Source organism: Homo sapiens, chromosome 1 (assembly GCF_000001405.40).
Source record: "Homo sapiens chromosome 1, GRCh38.p14 Primary Assembly".
Classification (NCBI taxonomy): domain Eukaryota; kingdom Metazoa; phylum Chordata; class Mammalia; order Primates; family Hominidae; genus Homo; species Homo sapiens.
This window is the reverse complement of record NC_000001.11, coordinates 230,835,978-230,854,656: the sequence shown is the minus strand read 5'-3', so window position 1 is coordinate 230,854,656 and position 18,679 is coordinate 230,835,978. Positions and strand designations below refer to the sequence as shown.

Sequence of the window (18,679 nt, the reverse complement as noted above, 5' to 3'; positions counted from 1 at the left end):
GTAAGCTATTGCCGATTGCCCTGGGTGAAGTGAGCTGGCCTCAGGGCGTGGGAGCGTGGGACAATTGAGATGAGTGTTAGAGTTAAGAGGTGGTTTTGGGGAAGGCATGGCATTAATGTAGTCTCCCTAGGGATCGGGTACGGGTTGCAGGGGTGACCAGCACTGTCTTGGGAGAGAGCACAAGATGTTAAGGAGCCGCCTGCAATTGGAATAGCTTCTAAATCCAACACTGGATCCTGTGTCTACTGACATTGCAAAGGAAGTCATAAGTGGGTAAAAAGTGCATCATTACATTGATTCTTAGCCAGGGCCCTCAATATTCCTCTTCTATGGGCTCCCAAAATGGGTAATTGTGAGAAGTACTAATCCTATAGATGATATCTAGTGGTAATAGCCAGATAGATTCTCTGTGTGTTGGAAATGAGCAGCCTTGGGTATGGTGACCCAGAAAGCAGTGCAGATTTTCCTGGACTGGGTCTATATTTGAAGATATCATAGTGATAAAGGCAAAGGAAAGTAAAAAATAGTTAAAGTGTCCTAAGACCTAAGCTCATCATGTTCCCCACGAGAACATCTGTTCTCTTAAGAATTTAGCTTGTTAAATGTTCCTGAATCAGCTATTTGTGGGACAGGACATTTCATCTTTTATTAACTTGGCATAAATGACATTCTGGGACAAGGTGGTGCAGCTCCTGGAGTGGCCACTGATACAAGCACAGCTGCTGGGGCCAGAGTGGGAAACAGGTGCCTGGCGAAGATCTCGAGAAAAAAGAGAGCAAGTACAGTCCACTTGAATCACACTTGTGCTGAGAGGCTCATTGTCCACAGATGCCAGCATATCTGGTCCCTTAGGAACCAGTGTAAGTTGAGGAAGCTTGCTAAAATCTGGTTAATATGTGTCACCCATCAGAAATTGCATCCTTTTAGTAAAGTGTAGTCTTCATAGCTCAGAGTTGGCAGTTTCATTTCATACTCCTGTTAGATTAGAGTTCCAGTTTGTTTCACAAACTGTTGGGCTCACTCTGTGTCCTCACCTTCCTGTTTGATCTCTCGAGGTCAGACTTACTATAGTTTACTATTAGAAACGTCTAGGGGCAAAATAGAGCGTATCTCAGAGAGCAAGGGAGCTGTCCCTTCCTCCTTCTTCACTAGGCAGTGCCGAGTTTTAAAAAGCCCATCACTCATTCCTCCTTTGTCTTAACCCTGGAGTGCCCTGCCATCCTGCTTGAAGAGATTTGCCAAACTCTTCTTAGGACTTAAAGGCTTATAAGATCTTCATTGGAGAGCCACAAACAGGAGGTGGCTTTAGTGAAGGTAGGACCCCCTAATCTCCAATTGCAGGACTGGAGGGAGACTTGGACCCCATTTCTTGTTACCTCTCAACTGATGCCTTCCTCACTCTATCAGTTCTCTATAGATGCATAACAAACTTAATGGCTTGAAGCAGCATTTTATGTGCTCATGATTGTGTGGGTCAATGATCGGAGCAGGGCTCAGCTGGACTGTTCTTCCGTTGGCCTTGCCTGGGATCACTTATGTGTCATCTGATCGCCTGATGGGAGCTGGGTGCTCTGAGAACCTTGCTCACGTGTCTGGTTGGTGCTGGCTGTTAGCTGGGCCACATGTCTCCAGCAAGCCAGCCTGGACTTCTTCACACAGAGGTGGAGAGATCCGTGTGCGGGAACGGAAGCCTACGAGGACTCTTTTGAAGCTTAGGCTGGGCAATTGCATAGTATCACTTCTGCTCTGTTCTGCTGGTCAAATCAAGGCACAAGCTGGGCCAGATTCAATGTTTGAGGAAAGAGATTGCACCTCTTGATAGAAGAGCTGCAGAGAGTTTGCACCCATTTTAAATCTAAGATTGTATGATGTCATTCATTCCTTGGTTAACCTTGGCCATTTCTTTCCATTTTTAATTAATCACTCATTGATTTTTTTAAGTTTTATTTTTAATTGTGGCAAAATACACACAACATAAAATTTTCCATCTTAATCATGTTTATGTGTATAGTCTGGTGGCATTCAGTACATTCACATTTTTGTGTAAACATCACCATCATCCATCTCGAGAACTCTTTTTAAAAATTATTACTTTTTAATTGACAAATGAAAAATTGTGTATATTTATGATGTACAACAAGATGTTTTGATACGTGTGTACATTGTGGAATGATTAAGTCAAGCTAATCCACACCTCCAGAACTCATCTTGCAAGACTGAAACTCTGTTCCCATTAAAGAATGACTGCCCCCCACTCTCACTAGCCCATGGCAGCCACCATCTATTTTCTGTCTCTGAAATCATTCATTGATTTTTTTTTTCCAGTAGATATTTATTGTATACCCCGTTTATGTCAGACATTATGCTGCAGGCCCAGAGTTGAGCATATGCCACTTCTGTGCTCGAACAACAGCTCAGTGAGTGGACAGCTGTGTTTGGTGGCAAATCTCACTCAGCACAAAAGCTATAGCCACCGAGTCACTCCAGTCATTTTCTCCATACGTTTAACCCAAATTTGTACACATGTTGGGTAGATGTAACCTCATGCCCTTCTTCAGCTATTCAGTTCAACAGACATTTAGTGGATGCCAGCAGAGTGCCCAGCTCTGACTTCTCCATCCCCTGACGAATCTACCTACACAAGGGTAAGCCTGACCCAAGGTCATGGCCATGGGCAGAGTTAAGAATCGCAGGGATTTTTGGTTTCTCACCCAACTGCTGCACCTCTGTATGGGTTCCTTTCTCTTGGCCAGCCCATGACCATTCCACCTCCACAGAATGAGCTGCGGTTGTGCTTGGGACCTGTGGTCGCTGCCCCCATGCAACGCAGCTTTGATCAGGAGAGCTCGCTGCAGCCTCACAGTAGCAGCTGTGCACCCACCTGGTTTTCCAGCCTGTCCACCCTGCCTCGGTTGCCTCCTCTGAGGCTGATCGTGGCTGTGGTGCCTCTGTTACCCAGACTTCTTCCATCACAGAAGGGAGGCCTGCCTGTCCCAGAAGGGTGGGGGTGGTCGTGATTGTCATCTTTTCCACTCATCTATCAGCTTGGCAGGCGTGCCAGGGGAGAGGGGGCCAGTGGGGACCTAATGTTGCATTCCTGTCTCATGCTACTGCTGTTTCGAGAGGAAAAAACTCAGCACTTAGAAGGCTCCAGACAGGAGGAGGCAGGGAGTGGAGAGAGGATTCTTTACATTCCCCAGGCGGTCTGGGCTGGAGAATTCAGAGGAGAAAATGCCTTTGGGGCAGGTCAGGCCCTGCTTCAAAGTTGGCTGGGCTCTTGGGACCCCATCCCCAGCCTTGGTTGGCTGGGCTCTTGGTTGGCTGGGCGTTGTGACCCTGTCCCCAGCCTTGCCCCTCCCCCAAGCTGTCTGGCTGCTTCTCCTTTCTGGCTACCCCCTTCCTTCACCTGATGTCCAGCTGCCTATTAGGGCAGTAAGTAGGTTGGGCTGGGGATCGGTTCCTTGATTTCATGGGTATCAAAAGATCTTGGGGGGCTAATATAGATCATTCCCAGAGTAGGGAAGCCTTCCAGACGCCTCCTTGGGAAGATACATAAGCATTTATGAGCACAGGCCCTTCCTCTGTGCTGTGCCCATGATAGGGATGTGTGTGTACTCTGAATTCTTTCACCCTTGGGAGGCTGGTGTCCCTGTTCACGCTGTGGGTCAGGACACCGGGATGCAGGGGGTCAGGTGCCTGGCAGGTCGAGTGGGCGGAGAGCAATTGGAGCTCAGGTCTATCTGTGACTTTCGGGGCTTTGCTGCCCATGGTGGGACAGAAGGGCTGTTCCAGCAGGATGTTCCTGGACATAGAGGATTCATTGGCTCTGCTCAATGGTTCCTCCTCACTACCAGTCACGGGGCTTCTGAGAGGCAGGACACCATGGGGCTGCATCCACCCACCCGCAACTTGGTCTCTGTGCTTCTCACCGAGACCCCCATCTCTGCCCAGCAGTCCCCTCCCTCCCTCCTGCCCTTCCTCTGGGCTGTGCCTCACCCCTTCCTGAGACAACAGCAGACCCCTGTGTGCCCCTGCTCTTGGCCTTTCCCTGCTCTCCATGTGTGTGGGACGATGCGTCACTCGCTCAGCCCTGCCCTCAGCCCTGCACTGCCATCCCACAGGCTCTGTTCTCACCCACCTCAGGGACCATGTTCTCTTGGACCTCAGTGTTTTGCTCCGTCCCCTGACCCCTATCCACCTGAGAAGGCCCCACTTGCCCTCCAGACTCAGCACAAATCCTCTTTTAACAGTTGTCCCAATCAGGAATCTCACCACGTGCCGGGTCTGTGCTGAGCACCCTCCCTGCATTGCAGAGTGTAATCCTCACAGCAACCCACCTTACAGATGAGGAAACTATGGCATAAAGTGAAGATGTGAACCAGGCAGTCCTAAGCCCAGTGCTGGGCTCTTAAGCCCTATGCAGCTTCCAGAGTTACCCTCTTCCCTGTTACCGTTAGGAAGCACTGTGATAGAGGAAAAATGGGGATCATGCTGATGAATTCCTTGTTGGTGCGTCTTTGTCCCTGTGAGATGATGAGCCCAGAATGGCAGACACAATTATTTGTCCCTTAACCTTGACAACCCTGGGGACTGGTGCACCTCTGCACCCATTTCCTGTTGGGCCTCAGCTGAGTTCTCCCTGGCTGGTGTTTTTTGCCTTAGAGGCTGACGGGGTGGATGTTTGTTTGCTTACGTTCACGCCCCGTCTCTTTGGGCCCCTGGGTTTGTCCCTGTCAGCTGCCACTTCTACTAAATTTGTGATTCTAAAGGTTTTTAGTATCCTCCTGCTCATCTTCCTCCTCTTCCCTCTTTGGAGGGGAGGTGGGAAGAATAGATGTTAAGTGGTTGGTGAATGTATTAGGATTTGCTCCAGTAAATGATGATCTTTTCTGACAAGGCTTCTGTAGCCTTTGTCTCAACAATTTAGATCTGTCCGAGGCTGCCAAGCCAAACAGTTAGTTTTGGCAGCCTGCACTCGTCTTTTACTGAAATATTACACATTCCTCTTCAGTGAGTGGGACGTTAAAAATAGACACTGGGCTCGGTTGTGGTCCTTCTGTTTTTAGAACAGACATGGCCAACTGAGACCCAGTTCCCCGCATGGGGTGACTGACGCCCAGCCCTGGCCTGGCTGGAGGGAGTCCTCCCAGCAGAGCCTCCGTGGGCACTTGGGACATTGAGGCTGGGCTGTCAGTGTTGCCGTCAGGAGGGACGGCTTCCTTGTGGACTCTCCTATCTCCCCTGTCTCAAAGACTATAGAAGACCACTAAGTTGCATCCCCAAACCCCGGCTTTCTGTCTGTGGCCAGCGCCCATGAGTTGGCGTCCCATGGCCCATGGGTTCCTCCCCTTCATGAGCCTCATCCTCCCGCCAGCCCTGGCTCCCTGTTGCTCAGTGCCGTGGGAGAGGGCTGGCATGACCTCCTTTCTCAAGAGCCCAGCTCTTTTTCCACACCTGTAGAAAATGGACTTTTGTTCTAGGAAAGTCTAGGCTGTGCCCTGGACTGGAAGAGATGGGGAGTGGCCAACAGTGTGGAGTCACCGAAGCAAAAAGCAGTAAAACTTACTTTGAAATGGCAAAAGGGGCTCTGCCTTCCTATGGTCTGCATGTCGGTGTGTCTTTGAAAATGAGCTTGGAGCCACTTTTCGCTCTGTCCTGGTGCTGTGTGCACACATACCAGTACAGGTCCCCCCTGGGTAGAATGAGGTCCCTGGGCAGGATGGGCTGCAGTTCCTGAGAGATGGGCTTGATCTCCCCTGGGCCCCCACCTGGCCCTGCTAGAGTCTGTTTTTATTATAGTTCCTGGAGTTTTTAGAGCTGAGCAGAGTCGGATCTAGACAGGAAAAAAGATTCTTCCCCTACCCCAAAAGGTTTGTGTTTAGAAATTCTAGATGACAAACCCTTTTCCTTTGGGGAAAGCAGTGGGGAAGAGGCCTAGCACCCAGCAGGGTGATGGACAAGGGCAGGTTTTTTTTCGATATACAATATTTTGAAATATTGATAGGGTACATGTGATATTTTGTGAAATCAGAGACTGTATGTTCAAGTTAGGGTATTTGGGGTGTCCATCACTTCGAGTATTTTTAATTTCTATGTGTTGGGAACATTTTACATCCTCTCTTATAGCTATTGCAAAATACACAACACACTTAACTGGAGTCACCCCGCTCTGCTGTTGAACACTAGAGCAAACACTTACTCCTTCTATCTCATTAGCCAACCTCTCTTCATCCCCTTCCTACCCACACACCCTTCCCAGCCTGCAGTATCTATTTCTTCTACTCCCTGCCTTCATGAGATCATCAGGGCTGTTTTGTTAAAGGAGATTGTAGTTATACGTTATTTGCAAAATTATGAACAGCATACACATACATAGGGAAAAAGACTTAGAACTTTTTTCTTTGTTAAGTTCTTGTCTTCCCCATAGTCACCTCCAGACCCCCTAAACTAGGTAGCTGCTTCTGCCAGCAAAGCCCTCTTCTCTAGCCAGATGACACCCTCCTCTGAAGAGCTGTTGCCAGGTCTCCAGGTCTCCTGTTACCCAAGCAGGGCTGGGAGTGACCTCTGTCATTCTGTTTGAGGAGGTCACACCCAGCTAAGTGCTGCCCGGTTCCCTTCCGCAGCGCCCCTGAAGCAGCCCAGGAACCACTGTGACTGGCGTTTCCCCCCAGCATCCCTGGCTCTGCCCACTGCTGCCCTCCACGTACACAGGAAGTTCTGTCTCACCTTCTAGAGGCTTCTTAGCAGGGACACCCATGGTAGAAATTGCTGATCCTAAAAAAGCCTGGGGTTTGATGAAGTGCTCAGTTTTAAGTGCCTTCCTTACACTACAATTTCCAGATCAAAGTCAACTTTGTCCCCTGAGTTGGGCCCCACTTCTGAGCCATTTTTAGTGATTTGCCTATTTCAAGAAACTATCATCTCTATCCCACAGTCTTTCTGTATTCTGTTGTGGAATTTGGAAATATGCAGAGTATTCAGAATGCACCACTCAGAAACAGTCCTTTAAAATCAAATTAGATCACACACATACATAAAGAAATCCCACTGTGTCCATTGCTCCCGGCAGCTTCCATGGATGTCATACCTGGTGGCCACCTGTTGTTTTGCAATGCAGGGATGCCCAGCCATGGATTCAGGCTTAGAATCTCTCAATCCAGGTTGAAATCCCAGCTGCACAATCTCCTAATGGGCTAGTGACCCTAGGACAATTTAATTCATCACTCCGATTCTCCATTTTCTCATTTGTAGAATGAAAATAATAATAATTTAGAAACAACAGTCCTGATACATCAGGCACACTGAGTAATCTACATTGTCTTTAACCAGAGAACCAATGCTTTGATGGCTGTTTCTTTTTTTTCTTTTTTTTTTTTTTGAGACAGAGTCTCATTCTGTTGCCCAGGCTGGAGTGCAGTGGCGCGATCTCGGCTCACTGCAACCTCTGCCTCCTGAGTTCAAGCGATTCTCCTGCCTCAGCCTCCTGAGTGGCTGGGATTACAGGCATGCGTCGCCATGCCCGGCTGATTTTTTTTTTTTTTTTTTTTTTTTTTTGAGACGGAGTCTCGCTCTGTCGCCCAGGCTGGAGTGCAGTGGCGGGATTTCGGCTCACTGCAAGCTTCGCCTCCCGGGTTCACGCCATTCTCCTGCCTCAGCCTCCCAAGTAGCTGGGACTACAGGCGCCCGCCACCGCGCCCGGCTAATTTTTTGTATTTTTAGTAGAGACGGGGTTTCACCGTTTTAGCCGGGATGGTCTCGATCTCCTGACCTCGTGATCCGCCCGCCTCGGCCTCCCAAAGTGCTGGGATTACAGGCGTGAGCCACCGCGCCCGGCCGCCTGGCTGATTTTTATATTTTTAGTAGAGACGGGGTTTCACCACGTTGGTCAGACTGGTCTCAAACTTCTGACCTCGTGATCTGCCCGCTTCAGCCTTCCAAAGTGCTGGGATTACAGGCGTGAGCCACCGCGTCCAGCCCATGGGTTTTATTTCCTGTAACACTGAGCTTCAGGGCAGCCTAGGCGTGCGTTTTAAACTTGAATTCTTCATGGCCTCGTGATCTCATCTCCCAAGGCTGGAGGGAAGACATCTAGCCGTCGGAAGCTGGACTTTTAGAAATCTCAGACTCAGAGAGCATGTGCCGCTCTCTATGTATAGGACCTGCACTTCACACAGGAAAAGTAGTATTTCCATCCTTGCCCTGACAAATATGCACCTGCCCATTGGCGAGAATCCTGGGAGAGTGCTGCTGTCTGCAGAAACTTAAAGGACTGAACAGACCATTGATTATGTGAAAGACTGTGCATGAAAGGCATGAAGAACCATGTTTTGTATCTTAAGTTAGCACAGGGAGTTTTAAATTATTATACTCAGTGACTAAAAATGCTACTCTGATGTACATCTGGTGGCATTAGAAATTGGGGCAGCTGCTAGAAAGCAGATTTGATAGTATGCATCCAAAACCATAAAAAGGAAAGGTTTAAATTGTTTGTATTTTGATATTTCACTTCTAGAAATCTGTCTAAAGAAATTAACCCAAAATGGGGAAAAGATTGTATGCATGAAGATGTTTATGGCAACCTTAATTATAACAACAAGGCTTAGAAATAGCAAATTGTCTGTTAATAAGAAAACGGTTAAGTAGGTGGTGTGACAGCTACTGAAATATTTTTACAACCATTAAAAATAATGATTATCATGACCATACAGCAACATGGATGATGCTTATGATTAAGTGAAAAAGCAATACCCCAAATCACATGCCCAACAGAACTACAGCCTCATAAAACACATATATGAAAATGGTTACATAGAAATAACAAAAAGCAGTAGTGATTATGGGAGGAGGGAAGGGTTGTGACTGATTCTTTTTCTTTTTTCTATTTCCCAAACTTTCTGTCATGTAGTTTTATTACTTTTATTTATTTATTTTTAATGTATATTTTCTTTGTTCTTTTCTTTTCTTTTATTTTTTGAAATGGAGTTTCATTCTTGTTGCCCAGGCTGGAGTGCAATGACGTGATCTTGGCTCACCGCAACCTCCACTTCCCGGGTTCAAGCGATTCTCCTGCCTCAGCCTTCCTGAGTAGATGGGATTACAGGCTCCTGCCACCACGCCTGGCTAATTTTGTATTTTTATTAGAGAGGGGGTTTCTCCATGTTGGTCAGGCTGCTCTGAAACTCCTGACCTCAGATGATCCGCCTGCCTCGCCTCCCAAAATGCTGGGATTACAGGCGTGAGCCATCGTGCCTGGCCTATTTTTAGTATATTTTTTGAGACAGGGTCTTGCTCTGTTGCCCAGGCTGGAATGCAGTGATGCAATCGTGGCTCACTGCAGCCTTGACCTCCCAGGCTCAAGCAATCCTCCCACCTCAGCATATTGAGTAGCTGGGGACCACAGGCGTGTGTCATCATGCCTGGCCTTTTTTTTTTTTTTTTTTAATTTTTTTAATTTTTAGTAGAGAAGGGGTCTCACTTGTTGCCCAGGCTGGTCTCAAACTGGGCTCAAGCGATTTTCTATCCTTAGCCTCCCAAAGTGCTAGGATTATAGGCGTGAGCCACCACATCTGGCGTATTAATTTATTTTAGAAAGAGGCAGGGAAATATGAGGGAGTAGAAATGGTGAGGGAAGAGAGAAGTCTTCAGAATTGATTTTAGAAATGATTGAGATTACAAATTGCTTGTTCTGCAGAGCTTGGAAGACAACATTCTACTCCAAAGAGGAGGTTTAGGTTGCCATGTAATGATTTTGTTGGTCAAAACAGCTCAGCAGTGTCATTTTTAGAGATCACTGTGGTTAGCAGCATCCAGATCAAGGAAAGCATTTTGTGGGTGCTCAGATGTGGGGCATAGGCTGTGATGGGTGCCAGGCCCTGCCCTGCCCTCTGGGTGTTTGTGATCTGAGGCTGGGTTCTGACCCTGGCTGCGATGTGGCCTTTTGTTGCAGTGTGCACCTTTCCTCGTTATCCTCCCAATGAGGGTCGTCACCTGCCAGGAAGGTGCTAGAACCACACTGGAGGAGACAGGAGGGTGCCCTGTTTACCAGGCAGAGAGCCCTTACTCATCGGTAATACTCAGATATCTTGAGCTGCATGTAGCATAGTGCATGAGGGAGTGTATCAGTGTGTTCTTGTGTTGTTTTAAAGAAATACCTGAGACTGGGTAATTTATAAAGAGAGGAGGTTTAATTGGCTCACGGTTCTGCGGGCTGCACAGGAAACATGGCATCGGCATCTGCTTGGCTTCTGGGGAGGCCTCAGGGGGCTGTGGCTCATGGTGGAAGGCGGAGGAGAGCAGGTATCTCACATGGCAGAGCAGGAGCAAGAGGGAGAGAGTCAGGGGGAGGTGCCACACCCTTTTAAACGACCAGATCTCATGAGGACTCACTATCATGAAGACAGCACCAAGCCATGAAGTCACCATCATGAAGACAACATCCGCCCCTGTGATCCAGACACCTCCCACGAGGCCTCACCTCCAGCACTGGGGATTACAGTTCGACATGAGATTTGGGAGGGGACCACCACCCACACTCTGTCACCCGGCCTTGGCATTTAAGCTTCTGATGCATTTCAGGTGTGCGATGGGAGTCCTGACCATACCCACCACTCAGGACAGACAGTTCCAGCACATGGGCAACAACTCGTGTGTGGCTGGTGTGCGTCCTTATGCTGAGGAGGGGTGCGTGAGCTGGCACACTTGTGACGGTCGATTCTCAGGATCTCTTTCTTTTTTCTGTCCTTTCTCATGTCCCACCCTAGAGTCAGATGGAGTTCAGTATCTCCGCCCTATCCATCCAGGAGCCGAGCAACGGCACCGCCGCCAGCGAGCCCAGACCACTGTCCAAAGCTTCCCAGGGCTCCCAGGCCCTCAAGTCCTCCCAAGGCAGCAGGTCCTCCAGCCTGGACGCCCTGGGCCCCACCAGGAAGGAGGAGGAAGCGTCATTCTGGAAGATCAATGCTGAGCGGTCCCGAGGGGAGGGGCCTGAGGCCGAGTTCCAGTCGCTGACCCCTAGCCAGATCAAGTCCATGGAGAAGGGGGAAAAGGTCTTGCCTCCCTGCTACCGGCAGGAACCTGCCCCGAAGGACAGGGAGGCCAAGGTGGAAAGGCCCAGCACCCTCCGTCAGGAGCAGCGTCCTCTTCCCAACGTGAGCACCGAACGTGAGAGACCCCAGCCTGTCCAGGCCTTCAGCAGTGCACTGCACGAGGCTGCCCCCTCCCAGCTCGAGGGGAAGCTGCCATCTCCTGATGTCAGGCAGGACGATGGGGAAGACACCCTGTTCTCGGAACCCAAGTTTGCACAGGTGAGTGGCCTTTACCAGCGCGTCCTCAGATGGGATGGTGCCTTATTCCACGGGAACCGAGAGGGTCCCCCACAAAGCAGGCAGGCCACAGGTGCCCATGCTCTTTTTCTTCTCCTTCCCCTGCCTCTTCCTCAGAGGATGCCTAGGCTCAGGGTGCTGAGCCACCAACAAATATGCAACAAGACAAGTTTTGCGAGTCCATCTGGGTGCCCTAATTTGTTTACCAGTCAGGGTTCCGTGGCCCACTGCGCTTTCCCCAGTGCGCGGGCTGCTATCAGAAGAGGCCCCTGGAAGGCGCTGCGCCCAGGGCTGTCACAGCTCAAAGCTGTGTTGGGCCTTCTTTTTGGGAGCTGTCCATAGAGGCAATGGTCTGTTCTTTAGGACTGGTCTGGATTTGGGCCAGGGGAGCTGCCTGTTGGCAAAGCAGGCAGGCACACTTGAGAGGCCTCACTGGGTCTTGCCCCTCTGTGGGCCTCGCTGGGCTCCTGGCTGCCTTGCTGAGGAGTGAGCCCAGGATGCAGTTGCCTCCATGGTAGCCTCACCCATCCTCCTCTGGCCCTTGAGACTCCTTGGTTCTTGTGGGTCACTCTTTTTTTTTTTAATTTTTATTTTTTAAATTTTTTATTTCCATAGGTTTTGGGTGGTATTTGGTGACATAAGTTCTTTAGTGGTGATGTGTGAGATTTTGGTGCACCCATCACCCGAGCAGTGGACACTGAACCCAATTTGTAGTTTTTTATCCCTCACCCACCTCCCACTCTTTCCCCGAGTCCCCAAAGTCCATTGTGTCATTCTTATGCCTTTGCATCCTCATAGCTTAGCTCCCACTTATGAGTGAGAACATATGATGTTTGATTTTCCATTCCTGAGTTACTTCACTTAGAATAATAGTCTCCAATTACATCCAGGTCGCTGCAGATGCCATTAATTCATTCCTTTTTTGGCTGAGTAGTATTCCATCGTATATATATACCACAGTTTCTTTATCCACTCATTGATTGGTGGGCATTTGGGCTGGTTCCATATACTGAATTTTAAAAGTTTTTATTATGGTAAAATATACAAACATTTACCATTTTAACCATTTTACAGTATAAATTTGGTGGCATTTCAGTACATTCTCAATGCTGTGTAACCATCACTACCATCCATCTCCAGAACTCCTTTCATCCTGCAGAACTAAAGCTCTGGACCCGTTCAACACTAACTTCTCATTCATCCCTCCCCGCAAGCTCCTGGCAACCACCATTCCACTTTCTGTGTCTGTGAATTTGACTCCTCTAGGTACCTCATATAAGTAGCACCATATAGTATTTACCCTTTTGTGACTGACTTACTTTACTTAATGTGACGTCTTCAAGGCTCATTCATGTTGTAGCAAGTGTAGAATTGCCTTCTAAGGCTAATATTCCATCGTGTGGTTAGACCACATTTTGTGTATCCACTCATCCATCGACAGACACTTGGGTTGCTTCCACCTTCTGGCTATTGTTGTCTGTTAGGAATAGTGCTGCTGTGAACGTGTATGTACAAATAAGTCTTCCAGCCCCTGCTTTCCCTTCTCCTGGGTGCATACCCAGATGTAGAATTGCTGGATCACATGGTGGTTCTATTTCTACTTTTTTGAAGAACCTGCATACTGTTCGCCACAGCAGCTGCGTCATTTTACATTCCCATCAATGTGGGTTCGCGTTTCTCCACTCCCTTGCAACACTTGTTATTTTCTGTGTCTTTGCTGGTGCCATGCGAAGGGGTATGAGGTGGTGTCTCACCGTGGTTTAGACTTGCCTGTCCATGATCGTGAATGATGTTGAGCCTCATTTCATGTGCTTATTGGCCATCTGTGTATCTTCTTTGGAGAAATGTCCAATGGTCCCTTGCCCATTTTTAAATTTTTGGTTATTTTGTTGTTGAGTTGAGATCATCACTGATAACATTGAATGTCCCCCAGAGCAGGTTTCCAGTACTTCCACACCTCCCTCGGCAGATGGCTGCACGTGCTGTCCTCCCGAGGAGGGAGGATCCAGCGGTGCTAGTACCTTCTGCCCACCTCGGCTCCACATCAGTGCTCTAGCCTGTCCTCTTCGTGTTTCTGCACCTTCTTAAGCTAGTGCTTTCAGCCCTCTTGTTTCCTGCCTTCTCCGGTACCTGCCCATCTCTCCGTTCTGTTTTCTGTCTCACATCCTCCTGCCCATCAGCTCCTCCTTACAGACAGGCTCAGTTCCCTGCCTCCCTAACCAGCACTCTTTCTCTGAGACTCGGCACTGAGGGCTTCCTCTGAAAGAAGTATTTCCATAAAATAGGTGATAGTCCCCACTCTAAAGAGAAGCAGGAACGTGTTTCTGTGTGGGCAGTGGAGAGTAGGAGACAGCACATGAAATTCCTTTGAGAGAACAGATTTCTGAGTAAAGCACAGTGAAATGCCACTGCATTTAAGAAACTGGAAGGAAACCAGAACAAGGAAAACTGGATTGCACTCCTTCCATTCTGCATGTTTTGCCTCACTCTGCACCAGTCTCACATGTAGCCAAACTGGGCCTGAGACAGGTGTCAAGGGCAAGCCCATTAGCCCATTGCCTGCTCTTGCCGCCATGTATGCATTTTCTGCTGGCCGGCTGCTTGGAGGGTGGAGAGTCAAGGTTTCTTTGCTCAAGAAGACCTTGGCGCACCAGGTAAATGCCTGCCGGTGTTAGGCTGGAGGAAAGGGACATCAGAAACAGGCTGCTGAGTGGAAGCCAGTCAGAAGTTTTATGAAAACAGCAGCAGCTTGAGACAGCCCATGCTCACAAGAGGGGACCTGTCAGTTAAGCCCTTTCCCCTGAAAGAAGAATGACATTAAACCAGGCCTTGTGGTGCACGCCTGGTGCATGCCTGTAGTCCCAGCTACGTGGGAGGCCGAGGCAAGAGGATCGCTTGAGCCCCGGAGGCTGAGCTTAGAGTTTGGGAAAATCACTTCATAACCTTTCACAAGATCTGAAAGAAATAAGCTTCACATTCTTTCCACACTATGTTTACTTTCTCAACTTTACAAGTTCTTTTTTGTTGTGTTTGTGTGTGATGTTTGTTTTATATTTGAAGGAATATCTTTATCATTTGTTCTCTTATTTAGGATGAATAAATTTAAACATGGCTGTCATTCAGAAACAGAAAAGATTTATAGAAAAATACAGAGACATTGTTCTTTTCTCTGTAAGGTCTGTAAGCTGCTCACAGACATGCCTGGGGTTGAAGAGGGGTTAGTGTTGGATGCTGGCAGAGTATAGATTGCATTGAACTGTATTTAATCTTCTGATTTCAAGCACTGAGATAAATTGAGGTCAGGGAACCTCTGAGACAGAAGTAGGCTCTTTTATCTGGGTCGTTTTAAATGAGATGCTGTTTTTAGATTATACGTAACTGAAAAAAAGAGGCTCGTCTTACTTCCATGTTTTTGTCCCTTCTACAGGTCAGCTCAAGTAATGTCGTCTTGAAGACGGGATTTGATTTTCTGGACAATTGGTAAAATGTATTAGAAAAATACAATGAAGAACCCTAAAATGTTTTCCAAAGTGGTGTGGTGGAGGAGGATAAAAAGGGCCACCTTTTCCTATGTATTTTACTGGTTTCTTGACACTCTTTTCTTAATCATTTGGAAACTGGTCAATATTGCCAGATTTTTTTCTTTTTTGGTAGAACCAGATATATATGCTATTTTCAGTGATTTGATAACAGAAGTTTTCCATTTGGAATTTTTAAGGTCTGTTAATAATTCAGGAGATCTTGTAAATAAAACTTCTGTTCCCAGCTCCACCCAACTTTCCCCCTCCTCAAAGGATGTGTTTCAACCATGTCACAAAAATCATATAAGTGATTTCCATCTCCTTCTCCATTATTCCCCCTCCCCCCTCCGCTTTTTACCGTATGGGTTCCTTTTGGTGGGTGATTGAGGGTGATGTTATCAGCCATGACATCAGCATGCTGGCTGTGACCCCGGAAAGACTGGCCCCCAGCGACGTTCTCAGCCAGCGCTCGCAGCTGTCCGGGGCTTCTCTGGCAGAAGCCATGTCTCTCACATCATGTGCCAGCCTCCACCCTCACGCCATTTCCAGGGAACAGACTGCGGGTATGTAGCAGTGTAGTCTTTAACCTGCTCTGATACATATTCAGAGTATGGATTGTTGTTTAAAAAGAGTTGCATGTTTAAAGAGTTTTGTACTAGCTTTTCATTATTTTGTATCTAGATTATCAACAATGGGGCTACCACTTTCCTTGGTTTTATATCCATTTCCTCTTGGAAGTTCTTGTTGCTTATGTGACCTGTTGGTTGTTCCCCGGACTGGGCACCTACAGGAGTCAGGGCAGACGGCAGATGTGGCTGGAGGTCAGGGCTCTTCTGCTTAGTTGTGTTAGAGTCTTCCAGCATGGGACTGATGGGAGCAGTGGGCATTCTTTATCCCAAGGGCTAGCCAGGTTGCGTCATGACGGACCTTCCCCAGCCCTGACCACCACCAGAAGTGGAAGAGTGGAGTTTGCGGTCAACTCAGCAGTGCCCATGGAGACCTGCGTGGTGTCAGAGCAGCAGTATCTCTTGGAGCTGGTGCAGACACCAAGGCTGCCCAGTGGTACAACGTGGTCCACCTCCCCTAGGGAAGCTGCTGCACTCAGAGGCTGTCCTGCCCAGTGGCCCCTGAGCCGTGTGAGCCTGCAGGAGGCGTCTGAGCAGAGCCTCAAGCCCGGTATGGCGCCATCTCCATGTTGCCATCACTGCGTTCTCACCTGAAGCCTTAATCTTTGCGACACCTGCCAGTGAGCGCTCGGTTTCAATACCAAAGTGTGTCTTCTTCTTTTTTTTTTTTTTTTAAATGCCTGTTTCATAGGACCTTCTGAAATGATTTCCAGAATATTTTATCTGGCTCCAAAATAAAGCACATAGCAACTCACCTCAACCCCTCATCATCTCCAGGAAAGTTTCTGCCAAAGCTGTGGCATAGCCAACTTTTGATTTGGTTCTTGCCAATTGTTTTATGTCCCTAAACCTCATTTGGATCCTTGGGGTATAGTTTTATCTTTCTGCTTCAGTGATTTACTGTAACTTTTCAAATATTGGTTCTTTCTGTACCATTTAAGTATAGTTGATATATGTGAGGCAAAAAAAGGTTTCAGCATGGTGGTGAGGGAAAAAGGAGCTTAGAAATCCCAGTTGGCACAGCCTGGGCAAGCGCCAGCTCCCCTCAGGGCTAACGGCACTGTTCACACAGGGATCCTCAGAATCAGCGGCCACCTGCCTCCACCTTCTGCCTGGAGGGCATGGGGCTGTTGTAGAACCTATGGTAGCAAATGTATATGTATGAGTTTGTATTCTGTAGTGTTGGTGTAGCACAGAAGAAAGACCTGTGTCCTAGAGAGTAGGCCAAGGTGATCTGCCTCTTCTATTGGGAGAAATTCTAATTTCTTTCCCACTTTCTCAACAAGCCCAATATTCCCTCCAAGTTCTTCTTGGTGCTGAGGGCTGTAGGAATTATTGAAAGCTTCTGCCTCACTTAGTATCGTCTGGGGCCCAGCACCCAGCAATAACTCTAATAATGTTTCTTAATGGTATAGCCTCCTGAGATTAAATGTAAAATCAAAAATTAGGAAATCTTGGAGGGAGTCCTCAAGTTGTATTGCTTTGCTGTGCTTTTGGAAGAAGGGACGACCTGGAGGACACAGGCTCCTGTGTGGGTCTTCATCCTGCCTGACCGGCAGATCTTCCTCTACACCTTGGGCAAAGTCTATGCGAAGATGGTTTCTTAGCTCTCCATTTGCCATGATTTTCCTCCCATTCATCATGAGGGAGTTTCTCAAACCAGGAGTTTATATTTATTTTTTAGAAAATACACACTTTTCAGGAGAAACCTGAGCATGATTTTGGATTCTCCACCTCCCCCCAGTCTCTGCACCTGGGATTCAGCTCAAGGATTCAGTGTCTTCATTTTTACAAAAGTTCCCCCAAGAAATCAGCAACCAGCCTCTGTTTCATCTGGGAGCCCCTCCCTTGGCCCCCTGGGTTTGGGGGTGCTGCCCTACTGGGAACAGCGGGGGTCTGTCACCCGTCTGAGCCGCACCCCCCTGTGTGGATTTCAGGAAGAGCCTCCCTTTCTTTGCGTCTCCCTTTCTTTAATTAACATTTTCAAAAGTAATAAATTCTTACTGACGACTTGTAACTTAGTCATATTTTATACTTGTAGCCTTTAATAAAGCCATTTAAAAAATGCTATTTGTGTCTGTGATGGGCCTCTGCTGGTGTCAGGAAGCCTATGGAGATGATTGCAGTTGAACACAAAAGAGAAAAAGGGGTTTGTGCTAGTGAAAGCTAGCTTAAGCCACTTCCGGAAGCCTGCTTTGCAGTCTTGGTGCGGTCCTCTCTGCAGGTTTGTGGGAGGTGATGGCTGCTAGCAGGAGGGGTGGGCTCTGTCTTGGGGGATACTTGCACAGCCCTCGGGTGAAATGGAAGCATTGGCAAGCCTTTCCAGACAAGCTTATTGTATTGAGTGACTGGCTCTGAAAAGCTGCCTTCCTGAAAGCTTTCGTGTTGCATCTAGTCAAAGCTGATTTTTTATGGGAGGATGGGGAATAGAAATACAAAATAAAACATGGCCGGTCAGTCCTATTCCATTCATTAAAGTGTAGGTGGTAAATTACCAACTATAGATTAAGGAGATGTTAATTTTTCATATCAAATAAGCTTTTAAGACTGAAAATGGTGAAAAACGCTCACTTAGGTTGGCAGACTTCTAACTTATGCACAGTCCCGAAACCTTGCTGCTTTCGGGACTGGAGGTTTCTGGGAGAGTGAGTAATTGCACCTGCCGACTTAGTGGCCTACAGTATTTGTGATGAAGTTTGTGGGTCATCAGTGTTGGATGATTCTATCTACACATTATGAGAGGAAACAAAATAGCTCCCAAGCTTCTAGGTTTGGCAGTAACTCAGTATGTGTTATTAACACATCTTTTAAAAAGGTGTTTCTATGCAAGAGGGAGGAGCTACCAACATAGAAGCAAAACCTACCTGGGTGTATTCAGCACTTTCCAGCCATGGAGGGAATATGCTGAATCCGGGGGAACAAGAATGCTAGCTGTTGCAGGGTGGGACCATTCATGGCCTTTTCTGGGAGGTTTTTTTTTTTTTTTTTTTTTTTTTGCTCCGAGGCAGTCTTCTGATGAACTTACCAGCTTTCTGGGAACATGGGTACCAAGAGGGGGAAATCAGTGACTCTGAATCACACCTTAACTTGGGTAGAAAACAAGTGGGCAACCCCGGATATAAGATAAACTTTAAAAATTAAGAGCAGGGCATTGGTTTGCTAGGGAGGCATAACAAAATGCCTCAGGCTGAGTGGCTTCAACAGAAGCTTA

General features: G+C 47.7%; 1 protein-coding gene across 8 annotated transcripts in view, besides 1 other annotated feature; it reads left to right on the top strand.

Annotated features, from left to right (window-relative positions):
• The window catches only part of C1orf198 (chromosome 1 open reading frame 198), a 32,473-nt gene extending 14,935 nt beyond the window's left edge, over positions 1-17,538 (top strand). For all 8 annotated transcript variants that reach the window (XM_047432496.1, NM_001136494.2, XM_047432495.1 and 5 more), the window contains 2 exons: positions 10,761-11,303; positions 14,749-17,538. In XM_047432496.1, the coding sequence (XP_047288452.1) occupies positions 10,761-11,303; positions 14,749-14,805 (600 nt within the window). In that variant the 3' untranslated portion in view covers positions 14,806-17,538. The remainder of the gene's footprint in view (positions 1-10,760; positions 11,304-14,748) is intronic.
• Positions 2,422-5,880: an enhancer, noted in NCBI's record as "VISTA enhancer hs1766". NCBI's record gives its function as "enhancer in: dorsal root ganglion[7/12] | heart[12/12] | other[5/12]" and the evidence as "EXISTENCE:transgenic organism evidence [ECO:0001131][PMID:17130149]".
• Positions 17,539-18,679: the final 1,141 nt, after the last annotated feature.